The sequence below is a fragment of the Homo sapiens genome, chromosome X (assembly GCF_000001405.40).
Source record: "Homo sapiens chromosome X, GRCh38.p14 Primary Assembly".
NCBI classification, from domain to species: Eukaryota; Metazoa; Chordata; class Mammalia; order Primates; family Hominidae; genus Homo; species Homo sapiens.
Window position 1 is genome coordinate 108,118,171 of NC_000023.11, and position 27,825 is coordinate 108,145,995.

Sequence of the window (27,825 nt, forward strand, 5' to 3'; positions counted from 1 at the left end):
ATAAACAGTGGGTATTGCATTGTCAGTTTGTTTTATAGTGTGTTATATAACCAGAGCATCTGGTTTCTTGCTGCCTTAGGCCGGGCCTTCAACACTTTATGCCTGGATTGTTGCAACGACTTTCTCATTGGTCTCCTTATCTCCTGTGCTTAGAATCCAGCTTTTTTTTTCATAACAGCAATGTATAGTGGGAAGAATACTGGATGAAGAGTAATATTAACTGGGTTTGAATCTTGATTATACTGCTCACTAGCTATATGATCTTGGGCAAGTCATATCACCTCTCTGAGACTCAGTTCCCTCAACTCTAAAATGGAGGTAATGGTCCCTGCCCTGTCCCTCTCAAGGGGCTGTCACCAGAATCATGTGAAAGTGCTCTGAAAACTGTCAATAGCTTTACCAAGAGTTGGACTCCACTGGCTGGCTTTATACCTTCCAGAATCTAGTCCCATGCCACCTCTTTCATCTCATTTGTCAATATCCCCCAGAACCTACCCCACTCTCCAATGCATGTAAATGTATGGTGCTGTCATCTGGAATATTCTCTCCTCTTGTCTCTGCTCACCCAAATTCAAGGAATAATTTAAAGACCAGTCCAAATTCTACTCGCTCCTTAAAATCTTCCCTGATGACTCCAGTGCTCAATTTCCTCCTTTTGTGCATTTTGACAGCACTTAGTTATTATTAACACTTGTCTGTACATTACCCTTTATTATTAACTCTTTTACATAAGGTTCCTATCTTTAATTCGATTATGATATTATGATGCCTTCACTGGTTCATTTAACATCCAGTGAATGTTTATGAGGATGCTTCCTTTGTATTCCTCATAGAACCAAGTTTGGAACTTAATAAATAATTGTTGGTTCATTTATTTAGAAGTTCACATACAGACTCTCTTAAGAGAGACAAGTGAACACATCTTCTCTTCCTAGGGCTCGGGGTATTCCTCCTAACACCCCATCCTGCCTCCACGTACTACAGAACCATAAAAAACTCCTTATAATAAAACTGTCCAGTAAATTTTTCTGAGATTCTGAAACTGTTCTGTATCTGTGCTATCCAATACGGTAACCACCAACCACACATGGCTATTGAGTGCTTGAAATGTGGCTAGTGTGACTGAGGAACTGCATTTTTGTCTTTAATTTTAATTAAACAGCTGCATGTGACTAGTGGCTACTGTATTGGACAGTGTAGGTGTGGACCGGTGGCTTTCTAACTTTTTTTTTTATCATAACAACACAATGAGAAATACATTTTACATTGCAACGTGGTTTTTATACACACAAACAAGTTTCATGAAACAATACTTCTTATCTGCAGTATACTGATCTTTTCTATTCTATTCAATTTCATTTTTTAAAAATGCTGATTGCAACCCCCTATATAGATTTCACCACCCACTGATAAATTAGGATGTGCTGTTTGAAAACACACTGCTCATTTTATAGATGGAGAATCTGAGGTCCAGAGAAGTGCAGTAGATTTTCTAAGGTCATATATTAAGTGGCAGGGCAGGACTAGAACACAAATTTTGGGGCTCCTAGAATAGAGCTATTTCTAACAGGGATGTAGGAATTTCCTCCTTTTCCCTTTCCTTTTCCTCCTTCTCCTCACCATGCTGGATATTAAAGAAAAATAAGTCGACACACTATTCATTTTGATTAAATATTTTCATGGTGTCTTGATTCCTAAATGAGCCATGAGCTCAGTATTTGAGTATTGTTGCTTTTTAGTTTGGTTATTGTCCAAAATCAAAGATACAGTACCATGGAAGCTTTCTTTTAACCCACTGCATGGCTTGGCAGCGGCACTAATGTGAAACTGTCCTCCTTGGGAATTCAATCATGCTTTCCTCCAATTTCCCAGTAACAACTGACCAGCAGGTTGATTCTAAACAACAAAACCTGTTGAAGAATCAAGGTGATTCTCACCTCAGTTTGTGAAAAAGGTGCCTCTAGTCTTGAATTATATTGCCAACCAAATATTTTTCTTCATCAGTACATCCAGTGTGCTACCCTTTTTGTATGCCTTATCAACAAAAACGATAGCCTTTACAAAGGCGGCATCCTCTGAGCAGCACCTTGTTATCACAGAGGCATCTAGACTCTCCTTTCAAAGCTAGTCTTTTTATCCTTCTGGAAATGGCATCTATCAAAAAAGAGCAGAGCTATCTTAGCAAAGGCAAAAAGAGGCAGCAATTCAGAGGTGCAGTGGTCTATGTGTTAGTACATTCCTGACCAGTTTGTGTATGGAATCTCATTTCCCCATAGACGTTTCCAAATGCATTTCACTCAGCAGACAGCAGGCAGCAATTTATCCCTAAGTGAAAACAACAAGAAAAATACACTTAAAAAGGGAATAAGATTTTCAAAAGCCTCACTTTAAAGGAAACACAGAAATAGCCCAATTTTGCATTACATTTGTCAGTGGGATTACCATTATGTCAGTAGGATGAATTAACTGAAATCTGTAAGAAATGTCATATTTTCTGGGGCCAAATTATCTATGGCCTGATTAATTTTTCTAGCTGAAAACCAGAGTCTTATAGCTTAACAATTGTCCCTTGCTAACCAGACTGGTTACTTTGCTGACTTGCCCTGAAATTTATCAGGTGTAGCCTCCTCTGCTCCACCACTGCTAACACCAGTCAGTTAAATAGAATCCCATAAAGTCCTCTCTAGCTGAAGGATAACTCTTTGGTTAAGATTCTCTAATGTAAGTTTGAAAATTTCACTGTTGTCTTAGGAAGTCAAAGTTTATACCAGTCTGTAGAGAAATCATTCATGTCTTTTGCATTATTTGACAACCTAGCATTGCTAGGATGTGACTTGCTGAGTAAATTCAAGAAAACTTGCTGTTTTGATTGTGAAAATCCACTTGAAATGCTAAGAATTTTTGCCCAATCTTCTGTTTTCTAAGTTCTTGGTTGTCAGAAAAGCAGGTCACAGGGTGGAAGACAAATGAAGATGGGGCAAGGCCTGTGCACAGGTGAGCAGAAGCTGGGGACTAACAGGGGAGTAAGTGAACCCAGGAGGAAGGGGATGAAAGCATGTTGCAGGCTGGGCCAGAGCCTTGGTCTTCTGGCTGTCTTCCTGCTTTCCCAGGCCCTGCTAATTAACCTGCCATCTATCATGCCTGTTTTCAAAAGCCCTGTGCAGGTTGACTTTCCCTTCACTGTTTTTTAAACCCCTGTCCACAAATCCACTGAGTCCAACAGATTCTGGCTAGACCAAGCTTATTATCTCCCTACCCACCCCCATGGTTTTCTGCCACCGTTTCATCACCAACACTTGAAAACTACAAGTTATTTTTGACTCTCTCTCACTCTCCCCTGCCCCACCCTACACTCAGTTGCTTGCCAAGCCCTTTCGGTGTTCCCTCAATCAGGAATTCCCTCCCGTCCCCCTTACCACTTATATCTTATTTCCATTAAGGCTCAGCTCTGATGCCACCTTTTCTAGGTTGTAGAAAGCCTATTCACCCCCAGTTGGAATTAATTACTGTATTTATTTCCTTTTCTTTCCCTGTCTTCCACATCACTTTCCTTTCACTTATTGCACTTCTGTTAGTTGTTTCCAGACCTAGCCTCTCCACTAAAAAGCTTTTGGAAGGTGGAGACTGTATCTCACTGATGTTTTACCCTCTATACTTAACACATAGTAGGTATACTCTATAAAGTTTATGGAATGAAATATGAATGAATATTCAGCTGTTACCCTACCTATCCCCTGTGGATGTTGTCCCAAGTTCTTTAAGATGTGATTTGATGTATGCATTGCTGAGAAGGCTGTTTTAGCACCAGCAGTGTCCTGGCATGCTGTTAGAATTGAAAGACCTATAAGGAGGTTATCCTATATCTCAGACCCCTCCTGGCCCTGAGATTCTATGGCCTTTTAATTTCACTTTAGAGAGTTTGTGGTGCTTCTTTCTTTAGCACAAGCTCCACAGAATCTAAGATGAATTGACTGAAATTCATGTCATGAGGTATAAGTGTTTTTGTTAAGCCCTGTCAGAAAATTTGTTTTTCAAAGTGATTTTCTCATTTACTTGCAATTTTCCAAATAACCCTTAGAAATGTAGTCAATTGCCGGAAGCCATATTATTAAAGTAAGACATTGGCAAAAATGGCAGAGTAAGTACCTCTGAAAATTCTCTCCATAATAGCAATGAAAAAACTGGCAGAAATAGCATCAAATTTTTCAGAACTCTAGAACTAAAGGCTTGCAGCAATCCAGGGAACATTTACTCAAGAAAAATGGCTGCATGTTGATAAGACCAGTGAGCTTTGTGGCATTAGTATTTTCATTCACCCTATTCCCATCCCTTTCTCCCTGGCTTCAAAATCAATAGCCTTCACTCACAGGGAAAACCAGCAGCCTGGCAGCCACCAGAGGAGACAGAATAGGGTTGGGACTCCTTTACAGCCTCATTTCTAGAGAATTGTCATTATTCGATCTGTCTGGAGTTCCCCCAGAAGACCCCCCACTTGTAAGACTTTATTTATTTGGCCTGACACAGAGCTACAGAAAGCCTTTTCCCCAGGGCCTTTCTTTTGGAAAATGATTAGAGGCAGTCAATTAACTTCTCAGCTGCCTGAAGCAATGGATAACATTTCCAGCTAACCACAAAGCTTTGAAGAAAAAGCTGGGGAATGAGATTCCTTGGGGCTTTGGAAAGCTTGGGCATATTCCTGGGAATCTACAAGATTACACGCATGCATAGGGCTGTGCACATGCTCCGGAAAGACCTCAATAGGTCCTAAGCTCTCACTCTGGCTGATCTTGAGCTTGGCATAAGCAGAAAGTGAAGACAAAGGCAGAAGACATTGTGTGGCTGAGTGTTGAAGACATGCCCCAACATGTACACAGAGTCCCTTGGCCAAAACTGGGAGGCTTTTTGTTTCCAGGAATTTAAGGAAATCTTTGTCTAATTATGAGCTGGCCACTAAACTAACCCAGCAGAGACTTCAGTACAATAATTATTATTAAAGTACAGTGGAACAGGGTGAAGCCTGTTGTCCCTGAGACCTTGTAGAAACTAATTCTTGGTCCACCAAGTTATAGATTTGTAGCTCTGCCTGTATAGTCCCTATCTCTTTAAACAGACAGAAAAGGCAGGGAACTCATATCAGCCTGATATCTGGTTTGTTTATTTTTAAAGGCAAGACAAAGGTAGTTTGTGAAAAATTTAAAACAAAAAGCATTGCTGTTAATCAGAAGTAATTGTATTGGAAATGATATTTTACTTCTGTACCTCATCCACTTCCCAGATTGCTTTTTCATATGAGTTCTCCCTATGTAGGACCTGTTCCTCTTTCCTCCCTAGACCCCCATGTACATAATCTTCCCATCTCACTGCTTCTTGCTTCTGTTAATTTCATTTTCTGTTCTTTCATTTGTTCTATACATGTAGCCTCGATTCAAGGATGGCTGTGGCCTCACATACTGCATTCGGGGTGTCTATCTTTTAAGAGAAGAATCAAGAAGAATAGAGACTGTAATGACCTTCTTGCTGGCCTAGCTAGGCCTGAGAGGGGGTGAAGTGCAAGAGTAAAATTCTTTGGCTGCCATTTTGATCAGAGCCATCCCAAATGAAGCAAGGCAGTTGTCACAAGCTTTAAAGGGCTTTACTAATTTGACGAGATAACTGGCCAGTGACTCACTGAGACAGGGTTGGCAATAGAGAAATGGTATTTCTTTGGCCAGTACTAAAAAAAGACCCAAGGCTTATATGCATACATGCTGTACATTCATCCAATGCCATCCATCCTCACCCCTACCAAGGCAATGCCAGAGAGGTTGCCCTTTTCCTACAGTCTACTCAAGTTACTTATTTTCTGATTTTCTTTCTCTTTTTAGGCTACACTATATGTTCATTTAAACCTGATTTCTTCTGCCTGTGAGGGGTAGAGGGTAGGGTGGGGAGGTGCACAGTGTGATTTGCCCTGCCTCAGTCCACCACCTCCTGGGGATGGCCTGACCTGGATAATCATTTTTAGCCTGGTATTTCCTGGGCATGGGCCAGGGGCTGAGGCCAGCAGCAGAGAGGCTAAGATGGCACAGGCTCCCTGTCAGATTTGGTAGTGATGAATTTTCACTGGGGAACAAAATGGCTGTTTCTAACTTCTTTAGATTTGAAACACTGCAGAGACTATCATCTTAATAATTAAAATATATTGAGGAGAAGGGCTACTTAAATCCTTGAATGACTGGAATTCTGTAAGATATTTTAAGAAAGGTAATATCCCTGGTTAACAGTGTTTCTTTTTCTTTTTCTTTTTTTTTCTTTTTTTTTGAGATGGAATCTTACTGTGTCACCAGGCTGGAGTGTAGTGGCGCGATCTTGGCTCACTGCAACCTCGGCCTCCTGGGTTCAAGCGACTCTCCTGCTTCAGCCTCCCGAGTAGCTGGGACTACAGGCATGCACCACCATGCCCAGCTAATTTTTGTATTTTTAGTAGAGATGGGGTTTCACCATGTTGGCCAGGATGGTCTTGATCTCAGCTGTGTTTCTAAAAGTACTTGTACAAATTATAATTTCAACTTCCAACAAAATATTTATATGATCAGAACAGACTCATTTTTTTTTTATCAGAACAGACTCATTTATATTTAGGAGCATTTATTTCTATGAAAACAACATGCCCTGGCCTTAGAAAACAAAAAATAAAATAAAACAATTTATCCTTTCAAGGGATTTCTTTTAGAGAATCTCTGCAGCTACTTGTAGTTGTACAAATGGCCCCCTACTTTCTCTGTGTTCCCTTCCTCACAGGGGCTGAGGAGCCCCCATGAGTTGAGAGGTGTATGTTGAATATCTTAGCTTTGAACTTGAAATATATTTTCTCATAGATATAGCACCATAAACTGTGAAATAAACTATCAATTTAAATTTTCTAGTTACAGATTAAAATAGGTTTTGTGGACTAGCTTGGAAATATATTTACTGTTTATAATATAATTTCTCTCAGAAAATTATTATTATTTATTTATTTATTTAAAGAGATGGGGGTTGGCACTGAAAGTTCCAAGCTTCTGATCATGGCTTAGTCTTTCTGGTAACCAGCCTCCATCCAGAAGCCCACCAAGAGATACTTCATTAGAACGGAAGATGCTCTTATCACCCAGGAAATTCACTAGGAGCTCTATGTCAGGAACCAGGGAGAAAGGCCAAATTTCAGAAGAAAAGATGCACGTAGCATCCCTGTCACTCACCATAACAAAGGTTTTAGGAGCTCTGTGCCAGAAAACAGTGATAGAAACTAAATATATATTTCTTATTATATCTTAATAGTCATCTGTGAATTCCAAGAACAAGTTATGTTTACTGTTAACTTCAAGATCCTTCTTTGCAGAAGCCATATGTGAATAAAATGGCAAATAAAAATACTGTGAAAACATCTGGCCTTTCAGCTAAAATATTACCATATACACAGGTGTACAAACATTCAGGCTTGTCACAGCACCTTCCAAGCCACTGGCCACTAGAAACCTCACAATACAAACCTCATGATATTCCCTGTGACATGGGCAGGAGTTAGGTATGCAGGTATTGTATCACCTCAACACACTCAGAGTAGGGGAAGCTCGATAATTGGCTATTTACAAAGAAGGCCCCATGGTATAAAATGTTTTGAAGTAACTGTGGCCAAATGATTGTTTAGAGATGGTGTTAAATGGGACCTTGAGAAAGGGAAGGTCAAAAGAGATGGTCAAGAGGAAATCCTTCAACTAAAGGATTTAGAGGTCTTGTGAGTGTGTTTGTTCCTCAAGGAAAAGGAATTGTTTCCATTAGATTCAAGCTGCTGACCTTTCACCTTCAGGGTAAAGGTAATAATCAGTCAACCACAAAGATAAGCCCCTTCTATTAAATTTTACTTGTTTCTTTCCTTTTCTTTCAGTTTTATCCAAGTATGAAGATCAGATTACTATTTTCACTGACTACCTAGAAGAATATCCAGATACAGATGAGCTGGTATGGATCTTAGGGAAGCAGCATCTCCTTAAAACAGGTAAGATTTGGTAGCATTTGTCTGTAAGAACCCAGATGAGGTAGGCACCTGTGGTTCAGGGTTTGTACTTTTTCTTCTTGGGTTGGCAGAGCATTGTCTTGCTCAATGTTAATGCTACTCTGAGGTGGATTTAACTTGTAGTCAAAGGAGCTTAAGCCTCAGGACTTTTGCTTGGACAGGCCCCTTCCAAGGCCCTGAAAGGCCCTAGTAGTGTGTTTACATGGTTATAGGTTTTTGCACAATTTGCACAAGTAATATATTTTTATTCTTTTCCTTAAAGGAGAATCCCCAAATTCTAGAAGCCTTGGGTTTCAAAAAACACGGACCCACTCCTGGTATCACTAATCAGTCTCTAGCCTTTCGTGACTGGTCTACATATTTATTACTCTCACATGCTTGTCTGGCTAGATAAAAACACCCAAGGACTTCTAGACAACCCATGGACCTCAGAAACAATATCAGACCTAAGTTTTTCTTAAGTTTTAGATCTTTTGCTGACCGTAGCACTGTCTCAGTTTATTCTGATTTTGTATAGAACTTTTAGCCACTGCAGCTAGATGGAAAGGAGGCTTGAATTTTTCTTCCTTACCATTACATTCTTATAGATTGGGAAAGAAAGACCTTTTAACCTGAAACTGCTAACAGCCCAGCACCCAGATAAAGCCAGAGCTTGGAAAGAGGCAGCTCTGAGATTTGTGTCTTTCTGAGGAGACATCCTCTTCAGAGGCCCTCACTTAGCGTGGAGGAAGGAACAGGAAGAGGCTGATGAAAAGGCAGGAGAGGAAGTTAGGCATTGTGGAGCTCCTCCTGAGCCTGGCTTCATTATTTTGATTGGAGAATTCTGAACAGTGGAAAGCCTGGAGCTAGCAATTAGGAGACCTTTTGTATTCAGACTCTTCTAACTCAGGTAAGTCACTGTCTCTTTCTGGATCTTAACTTCCTTCAGTGGTACTTAAAATGAGGGGATTTGAGGGGATCTCTTCTAATTCTGCATTCCATGACAACAGGAATCCCCAGGTTGCCAAATCTACTCGTATTCAAATGTTAAATTGGGAAACGCCTCTTAAAATGAAATCATTGCTAAAATGTCCATACAACTTTCCCAGCGTAAAGCCACACAGGAAGGCATAAAGACTGTCAGAGGCAGGAGTGAGGGTGTGGACATTTAAGAGGACGAGCACATAACAGCTAACATCTGTTATAGGTTCACTGCATACTAGTCACCATCCAAGCACTTTAAGTGTATTATCTTTTGAATACTCACAACTCAATGAAGTAGGTACTATAATTCTCCCCATTTATGGATGAGGAAACTGAAGCTCAGAGAGGTTAAGTTAACCAGGTTACACAGCTGGTAAGTAGCAGAGTCAGGGTTCAAACCCAAGCAAAGTATGACTTCGGGTGTCTTACTCTTAACCATTATACATCTGCTTCCCTGAATATGCTAGGCACCGGGGCATGGAAGGGAGGGAAAATACAGATAGCTCAACTTTCCGATTTGCTCCAAAGAAAAGGAAGACAGAAAATAGAAACTATTGGCTAAAAGTAGATTTCCCTTTGTTCTTTTTAAGTGCAGTGACTATAAGTTTTATACAGAATATAATACAGACATGTTGAGAAGAGGGAGAGAGGTGACTAAGAAAGACAGCCACATCTAAGTACAGATAAAAATGTGGAAGCCATATTTGTGGCCCATCAAAGTAAATTTATGTCATAAAATACAAGAAAGCATGCTTTGAAAAAAGACACAAAAACATTTGTGATATTATATATGCATTTAGATTATAAGTGCCAGTTGCACTAGTTGCTATACATTTCTTACACACCTAATTTGCTTAGTAAGACATTTCCTTTTTATTTAAACATGCATGTGTGCATGAACAGACACACATGCATCCACACAAACAAGCCAACCCCTAGTTTTTGTTTTGTTTTATTTTATTTTGTTTTGCTTGAGACAGGGTCTCTCTGTTACTTAGGCTAGAGTACAGTGGTGATCATAGCTCACTGCAATCTCGAACTCCTGGGTTCAAGTGATCCTCATACCTCATTTTTTTTGTAGAGATGGGGTCTCACTATGTTGCCCAGGCTGGTCTTGAATTCCTGGCCTGAAGCGATCTCCCTGTCTCAGCTTCCCAAAGCACTGGGATTACAGGTGTGAGTCGCTGGGCCCAGCCAAACCTCTAGTTTTAGATAAGGGATGATGGGTGCTGATGCAAGATCCAACCAACCATCATTCAGGCTGGAGCTGATAGTCTTGTTAGTGGGTTCTCTAGGATCCTTAATTTTCTTATTCCTTGTCTTTTGGCAATGATCCCAGTGTTTGTAACTGCCAGGACTGTGGAACTCAGTGAAAAGATGACAGGAGCTACCCAAGGTCATTATACCAGTCAAATAGCTCTGGTCAAACTATAGGTTGGGAGAAATACTGAAATTATTTGGCTAAAATAAGAATGGGTTTCCTGTGAATTTACCTAGCCCCATAATAATGGAATTGACTGGTTATTTGAAATTAAGTTAGTAGCTGGCTCAGAAGTAAAGGTGGGTATTTTTAGATATGGTGATTTAATTTTAATTTTACATTTAATTACAGAAAAATCTAAGCTGTTGTCTGATATAAGTGCTCGTCTATGGTTTACATACAGAAGGAAATTTTCACCAATTGGTAGGTAAATCATTTGTTTTACTGTGCTTTATTCCTTGTGGATAGCTTGCCTGAGGTTATCAGTGACTTCATAGAAACCTCAGAATTAACAGTTCACTATAGCAAAGAATTTGATTGAGGAGACTAGGTAAATCTTACACTTCATCCAAAAGTTTCATTGCTAAAGTATCCTTTCACATATGGCTCTATTTCATTGAGGGATTATGACAGTATACTTTTGACACCACCTCCAAGTGTTCAGGCACCAGATGATATTACTTGTTATACTTTTGAGATTAAGGGGGAAAATCACATAATCTTTTAATTTGTATAATATCTGTTAAATTACAATCCACTGCTTTGTGGAACTACATGATTATTAATGAAAATTGTGTCTTGAAAGAAAGAAAATAATTTATTTGTTTTTTTTCCCCCTTATGACATGAAAGCACCTTGCCATTGAGAGACAAATTACAGTAGTTTCCTTGGAACTAATTCTAGGCTGTTACCAGCTGTCAACTAGAAAAAAGGACAGCTCAATAGGTGAAGTGAATATGCTGTCTTCATAAAGGATATACAACACATTTGCAAGTAGGGTGGCCACTTCCTAGTATCATGGCCCTGTAGGAAAAGGGCCTACAAATGGTGAAATCTACTCTTCTAAGAGGAAACTAGAATGAAATCAACCTTTCTGTTCAGTGCCAAAAATGAAGGTCACACAGACTTTTCTTTTCTTTCTTTTTTTTTTTTTTTTTTTGAGACGGAGTCTCGCACTGTCACCCAGGCTGCAGTGCAGTGGCGCCATCTCGGCTCATTGCAAGCTCCGCCTCCTGGGTTCACGCCATTCTCCTGCCTCAGCCTCCCGAGTAGCTGGGACTACAGGCGCCCGCCAACACGCCCGGCTAATTTTTTGTATTTTTAGTAGAGACAGGGTTTCACTGTGTTAGCCAGGATGGTCTCGATCTCCTGACCTCGTGATCCGCCCACCTCGGCCTCCCAAAGTGCTGGGATTATAGGCGTGAGCCACCGCTCCCGGCCCTTTTTTTTTTTTTTTTTTTATTGCTCTCCCCAGAAATACCCCAGTCACTAACAAACAAAAGAACAATCTTTAGTAACCAGTGGTTCTGAACTGTTAACTTTCTCTGGCTGAGGAGCTCTTTGCAAGGCTGGAAAATATTTCTAATTTTACTCTGCCAATATTTTGGCAATAGATGATCTCTTCTTTATGTGGGCCTCATTGCATCTTTTCCATACTAATCTGGCCAATAATCCCAGCATTAGCAAGAGCCAAAAGGCACCCCTTCCAGGTCATAAATTGGCTCCCTCCTTCCCATCTTCTTGTAGTAACTCTCCTTCAGTCCCCACAACTAAAAGAAAGGGGTGACCACCTTGACCCACTTGTCCTACAAGGTTGATGACCCCCTTTGAAGTTAGTCTTCTGAGATCATGTTTAGCATATTTTTCCACTTCCACACTGGGAAAAGAAAACAATGAAAACAAAATATCCTCTCTGCCATACAAGTTATCTGATTTCATTGGCCCCTTGGAAAAGGATATTGAGCTCACCCTGGCCTCAAATGTGGGATTTTCTTTGCATAAGGTGTTCTTAAAATGGAACCTATTGTCTTATTTCGTTTATTAACTAATTTTATACCTTTTAAAGATACATTTCTAATTTATTAATATGGGTTTAAATTATGATCATACTCAAAACATCAAGTATTTGCATCATCCTCTATGGGTTCTAGAACACTTTCACAGATATTCTCTCAGTTCTTACAATACCCACTGATAGTAGGCAGAGTATGTACTATTATGCTCAGCCTATAGGTGAGATTTAGATTAGATAACTAGAGACTGGTCTTCTGATGCCTCATCTAGGGATCTTTCCCCTATTTTACAATGTCCTTCTTGCTGTTCAGATCTTCATAGTGTATATTCAGAATAGTCATGAGCCTTCCAAATCTCTTTGACCATTTTGATGATTGCCTTTGGTAGTATTTGTTCTTTATCTAAGTAAGACTGGCTTCCCTGAGAATTTCAGGGCCATGCAAGTGAGCTATGCAAGGCAAGGTTTGGGTCTGGCAGATGATGACATGGAATGGACTAAGGGTTGGTATTCATACATGGCAGTCACCTACCAAAATTGCATGTATACCTAGAAGTCTTCAAGCAGAAAACATAAGGGACACATTTAGTTCATTTGCTTGTTTTATGTTTGGCCATAGAACCTGTTTTGGTTGACTCAGCACTATGTTTGCAAGTTCCAACCATATACCCAAATCTTGTTTGATCTGTGGGTGTATCTGTCACCTCACTTTTCAGAGTATATATATTTACCTGTCTTGTGTGAGTCCCAAATATGCTGATGTTTCAGGAAAGGGCAATTTGAGGAACCCATATTAATTCCCTTCCATTTTGCCAACAGGTGGAACGGGCCCTTCATCAGATGCTGGTTGGGGATGTATGCTACGCTGTGGACAGATGATGCTGGCTCAAGCCCTTATCTGTAGACACTTGGGAAGGGGTGAGTTAAATTTGTTTTATAAACTTTCTCAGAGACCTCTGCAGTATCACTTGCTGCTGTTGATTTAGCTTGATGCTGAGCCTTGGGAACACTCAGTAACAAACTTGAGGGTCTTAAAATGCTCTCTGCAAGCTCAAGTGGTGGGGCTGACAAGTCAACAAAGCCCCTCATAAGAAGGAAACAGCTAATGTTTCCTTGTGAGTCACCAAGCCAGGGAGTTATTTTCCTGGGACAGAACTGAACATCGAGGGAGGTATGTCATTTATCCTTTCCATCTTTGCTATTGTTTGAGTAAGTCCTTAGAAATGCAAGATAACAAAGGGAGCAGGAAGAAGGGTGTGGTGATTAAGTCTGTTTCTTGACCTCATTTAAGATATCTGCCTGGTGAAGGATGTAAGTGACCTAAAGGAAGTGCATAGAGGGAGCTGGCGCTATTTTGGTTTTGGTTCACTAAGGATGTCCAGCTGATGATGAAGGAATCTTTAAATTTGCTTCCTTGGGAGGACATTTAATTAAGAAAGCCTTCTGATAATGGTTGTTGGAACTATTTTTTTTTTTTGAGTCGGAGTTTCGCTCTGTCTCCCAGGCTGCAGTGCAGTGGTGCGATCTCGGCTCACTGCAACCTCTGACCCCCGGGTTCAAGCAATTCTCCGCCTCAGCCTCCTGAGTAGCTGGGATTATAAGTGCCTGCTACCACGCCTGGCTGATTTTTGAATTTTTAGTAGAGATGGTGTTTTGCCATGTTGGCCAGGCTGATCTCGAACTCCTGACCTCAGAGGATCCACCCGCCTCGGCCTCCCAAAGTGCTAGGATTACAGGCATGAGCTACCGCGCCTGGCTGGTTGTTGGAACTCTTGAGTCTTGCTTTCTTAAGACATGTACATACTTCCCTATGGGCATCTGAAGGATGGGGTTGGCTGGATGCCAGTTCAGGCACTTGGGTGAAGGTCCAGTTGGACTTGGGGATGAGAGAGCGAAAGGACACTTTGGATGAGATTGGGCTGCTGAACTCATTGGCTGTTGCTAATTGAGGTTCAGAAGTATAGAAACATCGTTTTCCTTTTCCCACTGTGCAAACTCACAGATTTTGCTACAGCTTTCAGAGAGGATTGGAGAAGGGCCTAGGGAGGTTTCAGGGCTTGTTACCTTCTCTTCAGGGTTTGGGATATCCTGCTTCCCCTGGATAGTATAATAATTTCCATTTTACAGATGAGGAAACCGAGGCTCAGGGAAGTGATGTGATTTACCCAGGGTAAAACGCAAGAAATCAAAGATTTGGGGATAAAATAAAGATATTCCAACTCCTTGTCCAGTGATTTCCCTTGTTTATACATGCTTCTTGGTGTAGATCCATTCTTACTATTTAATTTTTTTTTCATTTATAACACACTTCAAAATGATTATTTTGGAAGTGAGTTCTGGAAGTAGGGAGCAAACTGGAAAAAAAAAAAAAAAACTCCACAGTCAGCAATCTCAATTGTTTCAATACAAAATCAAGTAGCAGGAAGAAGTTGGAAATAGATCTTGTAGCTAAGATGAGTTAAAAGAGTAATTTTGTAAAGATGTCTTTTGGATTGTTTCCTATTCAGCTATTTTAAAATTAAGGTAGAGTATTCACTTGCCATTGTCGTCAGTGAATATTTAGTGCTATTTAGCAGCCAGCTAATTAGGATTTCCCCAGACTTGGACAATTTGGTAGCTAATGAAAAGAAGTTGGATGTGGTTCACCCTCTGAGGGCTGTGCTGGATCCAAAGTTAAAAACTTTGGTTTTAGAAACACTAGAAGCAAAAGACAACTGAAGAGTCTGGAGATAATGGCCTTTGGCTTCAAGTGTAGTTCAGTCTTTATTTCAAACTCTTTAAAACCTCAGGAGAAAAATTTGTCTTGGACGCAAACTAAGCCTCAAAAATCTGTCCCATTAGACAGCGTTTCTAGAGCTGAGAGGATTGCAGTGATTACATAGGGTTTTTGCAGTTGTCCTCAGCAAGTTACGAATGGCCTCTGTAGGATTTAGGGGGCTGTGCTGAAGGCACAGATGGTATCCGTACAGATGCAGTTATTTTGGCATTGGTCTTAGGGAAACATTGAACACCTGATAGCAAAGGTATTTGTTTTCCCAAAGCTCAGCATGGACTTTTTAAAAGGTGGTGTAAAAACGACAGCATGCAATTTTTTTAAGCTTCCTTAGTTGTGAGCTATGTATATTCCCCTGTGAACTGTCGTATATCAGAATAGCACTTCTTACCCGTGAGATCCTTTTGTCAATGCTGCCAAAATATAAGAGCAAAAGCCATTGCTGTCTATGTGGAGATGAGATGCTATGGCATCTGGCTTATATACCGATGTACTGCCGGGCTTTGTGGTGACCTCCTGTTCACTGAGTAACTGGCCAGAAAGGCCTTTGTGACATTGTTTTTATGTAATATTTATCCAGCTCCAGCCCTTGGGTTAAGTCAGTTCCTTGGTCAACTTTTTGTTTTGCTTTTACTTTATACCCACTGAGTCCTTGAAAGCAATCACTTTCCAGATGTCTTTGTCATCAAAATGAAAGATACTTAGAAATGTTCTAACTTGGTCATCCCTGCCTTCTAGATGTGGTGCCTTTGTTTTTCTTCTAACTTTGTAGTTACAATAAAAGTGCAGAGAGGAATAAACAGTTATAAAAATGTTTCTAACCCATTTTTTTTTCTTAAAAAGACTGGAGCTGGGAGAAACAAAAAGAACAACCCAAAGAATACCAACGCATCCTACAGTGCTTCTTAGATAGAAAAGATTGTTGCTACTCTATCCATCAAATGGGTAAGGTCATAAATCAATAGTTTAAAGGCAGTGCCTATTCCTGTTCCTTCTCTTCCCTTGCCTTATATGTGGCTCCATTAAGTTGTCCATCTGCTTAATTATTTATGCAAAAAATTAAGATTTTGTGGCTTATTGGAAGATCTTTTGCTAACATGTTATTTTTTTCCACATTAAAAACAGCACAAATGGGTGTAGGAGAAGGGAAATCAATTGGAGAATGGTTTGGACCAAATACAGTTGCACAGGTGTTAAAGTAAGTAAAAGAGTCTGGCATCTGCCTTATTCTGCTGTCTCCTATGCTTCCCTCCCTAGACAACTAAACCTCCCATCAACCGAGGTATTCTTGCAATCCCGCTAAGCTACTCCTCCCACTAAACCATCAAATATCTGCCATTTTGCTCAGATGGCTCTTTGAAATGTGTAAGCATGGATATCTGTGTTGGTGTATCAGAGTTATATTCACTGGTAGCAGTATATGTGGCTGTATCCTAGGACTCATTCAGTGTCTCATGCTACAGATTGATGCTCATGTGCCTGGGAGCCATTGGCCTGAGGGTCCCTTTGAAGCCAAAAGTTTCATACTAAGTGGTAGAGGCTAAGCCAGCCTAAGCAAGAAATGGACCCCCACAGGGCTCCCACATGCACTACATAATATTTAAAAACCCTGTTCATTCAGCATTTTCTGTGTACCTTTACTGTGCTAAGTTCTGGGGGTGCAGAAATAAACTTGACACAGTCCTTGCCTCAAGGAACTCACCACCTGTTGGGGGCGACAAACCCCAGGGAAGTCTTGGAATCAGTTTGTCATCTCATAGCAGACTCAAGGTGTCCCAGTGTGGTATTTTTCCAGTTGTCTTGTTAAATTCCAGAATTCACCTCCCACAGCAAGAGGCAAGGTGGAGAGGTCAGGACCAACTTTTTGAAAGCAAACAGGGTGAGTGATGTTAGTACTTACACCTGCAGACCACCTTACCTGTTGTCACTCTCCTTCCTAACAACCTATCACTGGATGGAAACTCCATGAGGGCAGAGATTGTATTTATCTTGTTCACTCTGTAACACTAGCACATAGAACTGCCTGGCATGCATAAGTACTCAATAAGTGCTCGATGAATACATGAAAATGGCCGCCAGAATCTGAGGCCAGATTTAGGGATCAGAAGATTGAAACCTTCTGGCCTCCTTTGGTGTAGAATATTAAGCTCCTGGGCATTATGGGGGAACCTGTTCCATGCAAAGTACAGACAGGACCCTGTTTCCATTACTAACCAGTCTTCAGTGAACTAGAATGCTTTGGGAATGTGTCTGTGAGGACAGTGGCCTGGATTTTTTGGGGACCCAAGGAAAATCTGTATTGACTTTACTCCTTCCTAACAATGTAACCTCTCTGAGGCTGCTCTCTTGCCATAGTCAGAGTGCCTTCTGGGCATCGCTGACTCTGCTGAGTGAAAATCTGGTAGGATTTCAGGAATCACTGTATGAACGTAGTGTGGAAAGTATAAGATATTAGAATGGCTGTGCTGAGCCCAAAACTCGGCTTGAAATGGTTGGTGTTAAAATAACATCCCTCAGAATTTGCTTCTTTCTTCTAAATTTTAAGATTACCAACAACAAAGTGGAAACCTAGATTTTTTTTTTTTTTTTAGGACAGAGTCTCACTCTGTCGCCCAGGCTGGAGTGCAGTGGCACAATCTCCGCTCACTGCAACCTCCACCTCCCAGGGTCAAGCATTCTCCTGTCTCAGCCTCCCGAGTAGCTGGGATTACAGGTGGCTGCTACCACACCCAGCTAATTTTTGTATTTTTAGTAGAGATGGAGTTTCACCATGTTAGCCAGGCTGGTCTCGAACTTCTGACCTCGTGATCCACCCGTCTCAACCTCCCAAAGTGCTGGGATTACAGGCGTGAGCCACCACGCCTGGTGTAGATTTTTTTAAAGAATGTAAATGGGTTCCAATTCATCATGATCATTAGCATTAACAACAACATATTATTATTATTATTATATTATTGTTATTATTCTGGGGAAAGATAATACATCAAAATGAATGAAATACAAGGGTGATGGTAGTTAACCTCTTTCTGGGAGCTACCTGGTAGAGAGAATGTGTTTTCTTTGGTCCAGTGAGACTGGGTTTTACCCACACATCCCAGACGTAGCCGGGTTAAACATGGCCTTACTTAACTGGCAAGGAAAGAAGAAGGAAAGGGAGAAATAGGCAGGGTACTTTACATAGACTTCAGATCATCTCTCTTTTAAAGGGGTTTTCTTTCTAATACACCATAAAGTCCTACAGTTCAGCATGGTGGCTCTCTTCAGCTGCTGACCAGTAAAGCTTGGCACCCGAGTCAATCTGCAGCCTATGTCACTTGAGAGGCACTCTCAGGGCAGCTGGGGAACAGTGGAAGTAATCTCTCTCTCTCTTTCCCCTCCACCCACTGTCTCTATCTCTGGGTTTACCTGGAACATATTCTCCATATTATCTATGATCCCAAACAAATATCTATTTTTTACGGACAGCTTCCTTTTTAAAAGTTTTTTTACAGTTTCCCTTTTGTAAAATAAAAATTCAGTAAGTCAGAATGTCTTTTATTTAAGAAAACAAAGTCTCTTGGGACTTTGAGAGCAGATGCATGGGTAACTTTTCTTTTTTCCCCAGTAGGTGTCCCGTCATTTTGTGAAGTAGACTTCTCCAGGTTGTAAAGCAGAAACTTCTTTTTGAGGTTCAGATACAGTGACTCTGTGGCATTCTCAAGGTCTCTAGACATGGAGCATCCCAGAGCTCTGGCAAAGAAGCCAGAGCTGACCTGAACACCAGCTTTTCTATGGCTCAGTGTTTGGTGACTTTAGGAACACTGGGCATAAATTGTACTGTTTTCTGCTGATATTTCCATCTTCCCAAATTGTGACTTCATTATACATTGCTTTGCAGAAAACTTGCTTTATTTGACGAATGGAATTCCTTGGCTGTTTATGTTTCAATGGATAACACAGTGGTCATTGAAGATATCAGTGAGTTACCAGCCTGTTTAACTTCCCAGCTGATGGGTGATGAGTTCCTCCCTCACCATTCAGTATTCTGGGGCTCAAGAGAGTCTCTCTGGTCTTCCCCACCAGGGCAGGGGAGCTTAGGGGAGCACAGGGCTCTGATTCTCTTTCTTTTCAGCTTTCTGAGAGGGAGAACACCATTAGAGGGGCCTTGCTCCTCCTCAGTGAGGTACCACACTCCTTCCCTGCAGAAAACACAAAGTGTGTATAATAATTTATTCAACCACCAACAGATCTTTCATGGAGGCTCACCCTTGTCCAGGCGTGTGATTCCTGCACTGAGGAGTGAGAGCAACCTAAAGATACAGTCCCTGTCTCAAAGGCCCTGGCAGACTTGAGAAATGAGATTCTTCCAATAAGCCCAGAATCCCTATTGGGAGCTAAACAAGTACCCAGTGGCCAGAATGAAGAGCATGAGCCCTAGAGGAATGGCCTGGGCTTTGTGCAGGCGGGGAGTCAGCTGAGCCCTGGTGGCAGAGGAGAGGGCCTTCTAGGCAGGGTGGGGGGCATGTGAGGTTCCCCTTAGTTTTGATATTGGAATATCTTCTAGGGCTGAAGACTCCTTACTTATCCAATATTCTGTTCTTCCATTTCTAGAAAAAATGTGCCGTGTCCTTCCCTTGAGTGCTGACACAGCTGGTGACAGGCCTCCCGATTCTTTAACTGCTTCAAACCAGAGTAAGGGCACCTCTGCCTACTGCTCAGCCTGGAAACCCCTGCTGCTCATTGTGCCCCTTCGCCTGGGCATAAACCAAATCAATCCTGTCTATGTTGATGCATTCAAAGTAAGTCACTTCTTTCCCTGAGCCCATTGCTGCCTGCCCATCACACCGCCATCTCAGCACAGAGATCCGTGAGCAGCAGTCCACAAGTGAGTTGAGAATCTTGCATTGTCTTTCTCTCCAGGAGTGTTTTAAGATGCCACAGTCTTTAGGGGCATTAGGAGGAAAACCAAATAACGCGTATTATTTCATAGGATTCTTAGGTAAGAAAGGAGGAATCACAAGTAAGTCATCGTGGGCTAGGGGAGGGCGTGGGGACAAGGTTTGCATGGGAGACCAGGCAATTCCAGTTAGTGGGTTCCCGTCTAGCCCAGGAATGCCGTGGCCTCTGGTCAGCTCCTTCTGTCTCCGGCCTAACTGATGGAGAGTGATGTTTCTGTGTGCCTGATGGAAAGCAGGTCCAATTTCAATGCCTTCCTTGCTTCTTGATAAGATGGTTCCATTGCTTTCCCACTGGATAGCCCCAAGGTCATAGCATTGCTCCAGCATGTCTCTCTCCTGCCTGTGGGGCCCAGGGTGGTGGAATTTCAATCCCTTGGCTTTGCCAATATCTCTCTTATTAGGGCCTGCTGGCTCATTGTTCAGAGCTGTGACAGGTTGGGAATTGGAGGAGGCAAAGACAGAAGTACCCCTTTCCCGAGAATGGGGGCTAAGCCTTAAAACCACTAACCTCTTAATGTGGACCCGAGCAAGCAACCCAACATTCCCTGCATAGGAAGGCACCTCTGGAAACCCAGTCTCTTTACTCACTAGCTGTGACCAGAGACATCTGAGGTCCTTGGTACACAAGGTAAGCTAGCCTAGTGCTTCTGAAGCTTTAGCATGCACATGAATCACCTTGAGAGCCTATTGGAGTGCAGGTTCAGTAGGTCTTGGGTGCGGCCTGAGTTTCTGCATTTCTAACTAGGTGGTGCTGATGCTGCTGGTCCACAGACCACACTTTGCATACCCAGGGCCTAAACACCTGGTTAGTGTTGAAGAGCATAAGTTAGAGAGTGATGTGGCCAGGAAAAGTTGGTACAGGACACCTGTTGCAGGGGTGGAATGGTCTGAGACTTGGCCTCAGGAAAGTTATGAGGTCAGATTGGTTGACAGACAAAGGAGAGCTACAGGAGTTACAAGGGAATGGCATGAGGGCACGTGCAAAGGACAGGGTGGAGATGGCCTTAGTTATCCTCCCCAACACATCTCCTCTTGGACATTCAGGGAGGTGAGGTGGGATGGGAACAGACACACGTGGCTTTGCATGCCAATCCCCCACTTGCTAGCTGTGTGACTTCAGGAAAAAGATATCAATATTCAGTCTCAGGTTCCTTTTATGTAAAATAGGGCTAATGCCTGACTCGCCCTGTTGTCATCTTACAGTAAAGTGTTCATCAAAGAGCCAGGCATATAGGACAGTCACTGAAAGGTGGCTGCACCTTGCTTTACCCCAATACCTATTTCCTTTGCCAGCCCCTTCTTCCTCTCTTTAGGTTGGGGGGTGTGGAGCGGGGCGTGGGGATTGCACAGCTGCCTCTGCTCTCTCTAATGCTGCCATCTATTGGTTGAGCCCAAGAATTACAGCTAAATGGAAAACGTGGAGCCTGTAAAGGCTTTTATTTTTCTAAGTATAAAACCTAGTGTTTGGAGTTCTGCAAAATCAGATGCCCTCTGTTCCTAAGCATTTGGGTTCAAAGAAAATGTTGCAAAAAATAGATTTCCAGTTGCTCATGCATGACTTAGTCTCTTCAGGCGGCTATAACAGAATAGTATAGACTAGGTGGCTTTATAAACAACAGAAATTTATGTCTCACTGTTCTGGAGGCTGGAGGTCCAAGATCCAGGCACTGGCAGATTTGGTGTCTGGTGAGAGCCCACTTCCAGGTTCATAGATGGCTGTTTTCTTGCTGCGTCCTCAAATGGTAGAAGAGGCAAAGGAGCTTTCTGGAGTCTCTTTTATGAGGGCACTAATACATTCATAGGGGCTCCACCCTCATGACTAAATCACCTCCCAAAGACCCCACTTCCTAATACCATCATACTGGGGGTTAGGATTTCAACATATGAATTTTAGGGAGACATAAACATTCAGTCCACAACAGTGTTTGAGGACAGCTTTGAAACAGATTAGAAAATAACTTTGGAGGAATCTCAGTGAATAGTGTGTGTGATTCCTGGGTGCCCTGGCCTCCCTATCCCAAGTTACCTACAGAGAATTTCTCCAAGTTGATGTAGCCCTCCTGTTTCTTGAGGCCACTGGGTCAGAGTAGCTTTTGTGAAGTTTGACTACTCATTAAAAAGATGTGGGCAATCCTCAGTTCTTTAATACCCCAAGACAGAGGTTCACATAGTGCCCATTTGCCTGTTAACTTTTATAAGTCCTTTGTGCAAACTTCACTTGAGGGCTTTAAGTCCCTCTGACTCCCCTTTTCTGACTCACACCCTTACTGTTTGAGGTTGAGTGGTCCAGATTGGCAGAATGTCTGAAGGGAGGGAAGAGATGCAAATTGCCATTTTCTAAATAGTTGTCCTGTTCCAGAGACTTCGCAAAGTATATTATCTCTCTGTCTACACATATATACACACACACACACACACATTTATACATATATATACATATATATACATTATATATATAAAATATATATATAAAATGTATTACATATACGTACATATACATATACAAAGTATTATATACATTTTACAAATATATAAAATGTATAAATGTATATATAAAATACATTGTATATATAAATAAATGTATATATAAAATACATTGTATATATAAATGTATATATAAAATAATATATAAATATATAACATAAATGTATATATAAAATATATATAAAATGTATTACATATACATACACAAAGTATTACATATACATTTTATATATATAATGTATTACATATACAAATACATACACAAAGTATTACATGTACATATACATATATACATATATATACATATATATACACATATATACATATATACACATATATACACATATATATACGTATATATATACATATATATACGTATATATACACATATATATACATATATACATATATATACATATATACGTGTATATATATACATATATATATATATATATATATATATATATATATATATCACTAAGGAATGGTGCCATATTGAGGGCTCAGTGTTGGTCTGTGCTGCTGGCAAATTGGGCACTCAGCAGGGGCTGTAGCCAGGTCAGCCTTGGTGAGTGGAAGTCCATGTTGCTGAACCCATGTGTAACCTCTATCCCTGCCACCATGGCCACTTTGTTCATGGGCCCATTGGGTGATGACACGGGTGGCTGAGGAAAAAGGCTGAGTGGTGTCCACAGAATGGGTCATCCTATCTACTTGATTATTAATCAAGAATACACACAATATTTCTGTGAGGTAGAGACTGTTATTTCTGTTTTACATGCAGTGAAACTAAGAGCTAAAATTAAGAGAGATTAAAAAGTTATTTCTTCAAGGTGATTCTGTTAGAAAGTGGTGAAGCCAAGAGTCGATCCCAATTTGATCATCTCTACCTACCACCTTCCATTGCTCCCCCAGGGCCCTCCTGCCCAGTGGGAAGCTGAGAGAGCTCTAGGTGTGGGAGGATATGGCCAGGATGACACTCTGGCCTTCAAATTTTGCCTGCTTAGAGAGAAGGAGATGTTGGTTCCTTGCACTTGGGTATAGGTTTCCACCTGGAGATCCATAGCATTAGCCCTGTCTCTGCAGGTGGTTGGTCAGCCTGCCTTTTCACTCCAGGTCTCACTGGAGACCTTTGTTTAGTCCCCAGATCATTTCTAGAGCTTTTTACATCTATTGTATATCTTTTTTTAAAAAATTTTGTTCCAGATTCAGGAGGTACATGTGTTTGTTTGTTACATGGCTATTACATGTGTAATGGTGTGGATTGGGCTTCTAGTATACCTGTCGCCCAAATATTGAGCATTGTACCCCAATGGATGATGATTAGATAAATAAAATGTGTTATATACACCATGGAATACTATGTGGCCATAAAAAGTAATGAAATCATGTCCTCTGAAGCAACATGGATGGAGCTGGAGGCCATTATCCTAAGTGTACTATATCTCTTATAAGCACTCTCAGAAATGATGCAGCTTGTGGCAGCTTGTGGCCAGGCGCAGTGGCTCACACTTGTAATCCCAGCACTTTAGGAGGCCAAGGCAGGTGGATCGCCTGAGCTCAGGAGTTCGAGACCAGCCTGGGCAACATGGTGAAATGCCGTCTATACCAAAAATACAAAAAATTCGCTGGATGTGGTGGCGCATGCCTATAGACCCAGCTACTTGGAAGGCTGGGATGGGGATCGCTTCCAAGCAGATCGCTTGAGCCCAGGAGGTCAAGGCTGCAGTGAGCCAAGATTGTGCCACTGCACTCCAGCCTGGGAGACAGATTGTATTAGTCAGGGTTCTCTAGAGGGCCAGAACTAATGGAATATATATACATATATATGTGTGAATATATATATGTGTGTGTGTGTATATAACATACATACACACACACACACACACATATATATGTAAAGGGGAGTTTATTAAGTATTAACTCACATGATCACAAAGTCCCACAATAGGCCATCTGCAGGCTGAGGAGCAAGGAGAGCCAGTCTGAGTTCCAAAACTGAAGAACTTGGAGTCTGATGTTTGAGGGCAGGAAGCATCCAGCATGGAGAAAGATGTAGGCTGGGAGGCTAGGCCCATCTCTCTTTTTCACATTTTTCTGCCTGCCACCCTGGCAGCTGGTTAGATTGTGCCCACCTGATTAAGAGTGGGTCTGCCTTTCCCAGCCCACTGATTCAAATATTAATCTGCTTTGGCAACACCCTCACAGGCACACCCAGGATCAGTACTTTGTCTCCTTCAATCCAATCAAGTTGACACTCAGTATTAGCCATCACAAGTCCACCCCTTGTCAACTTGAACCCATATACATATCCTGAGATCATACATCATCTTCAGATAAAGACAATAATAAGGTCATAATTTGCCTAACATAATACAACTATCCTTCGTACAACTGGAAACGCACCAATCCCCAACCCAAATACTATTACATGAACTTAATAATACTTAAATGCTGATGTGAAGTCAATAAATCTTATGTCACATGATAAAGGAGAAAGGAAATAAAATGAGAATATTTTCTTAGTACAAGTGTATACATGCACAAACATATTTTTAACAAAAGAAGGAGGAAATGTTCATGACAATTGCAGTCCTCGTTTCTGTAGCTGGTCACGTGGTCGTAGCTAGTATTGATGACTACCTACTTTTACTACCTATTCTGTATTCCCTTTGCCGTCAGTAAACACTTCAGCAGGTCATGTTTTTTTTCCTGGTGGAGTGACCCAAACCTTCATTCCTGAAGGGTCTGGGCCGTTTGTAGTCCTGCCTGGATTGGGCTGTTGTAGTTTCCCATTGACCTTAATCACAGGGCATGGTAATACTAAGAGACACCCAAATGGATCTCCTGTATTCCATGCATACTTTTTCTTACCTCCATTGTGGGGTAGTAGACTGATTTCATCTTGATAGTCCAAGTCAGTCACCCCAACCAACACTGTAACTCCCTTATTAGCCTGTTGATGTAAAGGGAAGAGGAGCCCAAAGTGTCCAGGTGGCAATCTTAACTTCCAGTTTAATGGAACTGTTGTGTCTCCTGATGGCAGCATTCCTTCCTCTGGAACTAAGAACTCTAGGCCAGCAGAACGTAATGTCGGGGGAACAGGAAGCAAAAATTTTGCTGGTGGATCACTGGGGCTGATGGTGAGTGGTGCCACTTCCACTTCCACTCCTTGATTCCTGGACCTGTGAATCCTGGCTATGAGAGAAAGAGTACCATATATTGAATGCTAATTCAGAGCTTACACAGCCTTCTGGAAAACTTTGCCCCAGCCCTACAAAGTATTGTCACCTAGTTGGCATTGTAATTGTAACTTCAAAATGAAATTCCACCATTCTATCAATCCAGCTGCTTCAGGCTGATGGGGAACATGGTAAGACCAGTGAATTCCATGAGAATGAGCTCACTGCCACACTTTCTTAGCCATAAAGTGAGTGCCTTGGTCAGAGTCTGTGTGGGATACCATGATGTTGGATAAGGCTGATGGGGAACATGGTAAGACCAGTGAATTCCATGAGAATGAGCCCACTGCCACACTTTCTTAGCCATAAAGTGAGTGCCTTGGTCAGAGCTGTGTGGAATACCATGAAGGTGGATAAGGCATTCTGTGAGTCCATGGATGGGAGTCTTGGCAGAAGCATTGCATACAGGATAGGTAAACCCATATGTGGACTAAGTGTTTATTCCAGTGAGGATAAATCTCTGCCCTTTCCGTGATGGAAGAAGCCCAGTATAATCAACCTGCCACCAGGTAGCTGGCTGATCACCCTGAGGAATGGTGCTATATTGAGGGCTCAGTGTTGGTCTCTGCTGCTGGCAAATTGGGCACTCAGCAGGGGCTGTAGCCAGGTCAGCCTTGGTGAGTGGAAGTCCATGTTGCTGAACCCGTGTGTAACCTCCATCCCTGCCACCATGGCCACTTTGTTCATGGGCCCATTGGGTGATGACATGGGTGGCTGGGGAAAGAGGCTGAGTGGTATCCACAGAATGGGTCATCCTATCTACTTGATTATTAAAATTCTCCTCTCCTGAGGTCACCCATTGGTGAGTACTCACATGGCATACAAATATCTTCACAGTTTTTGACCACTCAGAGAGGTCCATCCACATACCTCTTCCCCAAATTTGGCACCAATTTCCCAATCATGCTTCTTCCAAGTCCCTGACCATCCAGTCAAACCATTGACTATAGTCTATGAATTAGTATATAATCGCACATATGGCCGTTTCTCCTTCCATGCAAAGTGCACAACCAGGTGCACTGCTCGAAGTTATGCCCACTGGAAAGATTTCCCTTCAATGGGTCAGAGTAACACACCCAAATGAGGAATGTGTTGCCTCCAAAATCCAAATAGGCCCAAAAGGCATTGTGCCTCTTTCTTGGTTGTAGGAGGGGCCAATTGCAGCAACTTATCCTTCACCTTAGAAAGAATATCTTGACAGGCCCCACACCACTGACCCCTAGAAATTTTACTGAAGTAGAAGGTCCCTGAATTTTAGTCAGATTTATTTCCCATCCTCTGGCATGCAAATGTCTTACCAATAAGTCCAGTGTGTTTGCTACTTTTTGCTCACTGGATCCAGTCAGCATAATGTCATCAATGTAATGGACCAGTGTGGAAGTGAAAAGCGATCAAGGTCTCTCCAAATAAGATTATGACACAAAGACGGAGAGTTCATATGCCCCTGAGGTAGGACAGTAAAGATATATTGCTGGCCTTGCCGGCTGAAGGCAAATTGCTTCTGGTGGGCCTCATGGACAGGAATGGACAAAAAGGCATTTGCCAAGTCAATAGCTGCATACCAGGTACCAGGAGATGTGTTAATTTGCTCGAGCAATGAAGCCACATCTGGTACAGCAGCTGCAATTGGAGTCACCACTTGGTTAAGCTTACAATAATCCACTGTCATTCTCCAAGATCCATCTGTCTTCTGCACAGGCCAAATGGGAAAGTTGAACTGGGATGTGGTGGGAATCACCACCTCTGTGTCTTTCAGGTCCTTGATGGTGGCACTAATCTCTGCAATCCCTCCAGGGATGCAATATTGTTTTTTATTTACTATTTTCCTAGGTAGAGGAAGCTCTAATGGCTTCCATTTGGCCTTTCTCACTGTAATAGCCCTCACCCTACCAGTCAGGGAGCCAATGTAGGGGTTCTACCAGCTGCTAAGTATGTCTATGCCAATTATGCATTCTGGCACTGGGGAAATGACCACGGGATGAGTCTGGGGACCCACTGGGCCCATTGTAAGTTGCACCTGAACTAAAACTCCATTAATTACCTGACTTACATAAGCCCCTACTTTAACTGGAGGACCACAATGATATTTTGGGTTCCCTGGAATCAATGTCAGCTCAGA

At 41.8% G+C, this 27,825-nt stretch overlaps 1 protein-coding gene across 12 annotated transcripts in view, besides 1 other annotated feature; it reads left to right on the forward strand.

The window, feature by feature from the left end:
• Window positions 1–27,825, forward strand: part of ATG4A (autophagy related 4A cysteine peptidase) — a 65,843-nt gene that overhangs the window by 29,342 nt on the left and 8,676 nt on the right. For 4 of the 12 annotated variants that reach the window (XM_047441801.1, XM_047441803.1, NM_001321288.2 and 1 more), the window contains exons 2-9: window positions 7,907–8,017; window positions 10,611–10,682; window positions 13,090–13,188; window positions 15,887–15,988; window positions 16,169–16,241; window positions 18,921–19,000; window positions 19,634–19,821; window positions 19,943–20,021. In XM_047441801.1, the coding sequence (XP_047297757.1) occupies window positions 7,907–8,017; window positions 10,611–10,682; window positions 13,090–13,188; window positions 15,887–15,988; window positions 16,169–16,241; window positions 18,921–19,000; window positions 19,634–19,821; window positions 19,943–20,021 (804 nt within the window). Of the gene's footprint in view, window positions 1–7,906; window positions 8,018–8,622; window positions 8,925–10,610; window positions 10,683–13,089; window positions 13,189–15,886; window positions 15,989–16,168; window positions 16,246–18,920; window positions 19,001–19,633; window positions 19,908–19,942; window positions 20,022–27,825 lie in introns of all 12 variants that reach the window. The other 8 variants (NM_001321287.2, XM_011530842.2, NM_178271.3 and 5 more) reach the window with 5 other exon arrangements.
• Window positions 8,711–9,274: an enhancer, noted in NCBI's record as "OCT4-NANOG hESC enhancer chrX:107370111-107370674 (GRCh37/hg19 assembly coordinates)". NCBI's record gives its function as "activates a minimal SCP1, AML or CMV promoter by ChIP-STARR-seq in naive H9 embryonic stem cells {active_cell/tissue: H9 hESC(naive)}" and the evidence as "EXISTENCE:reporter gene assay evidence [ECO:0000049][PMID:30033119]".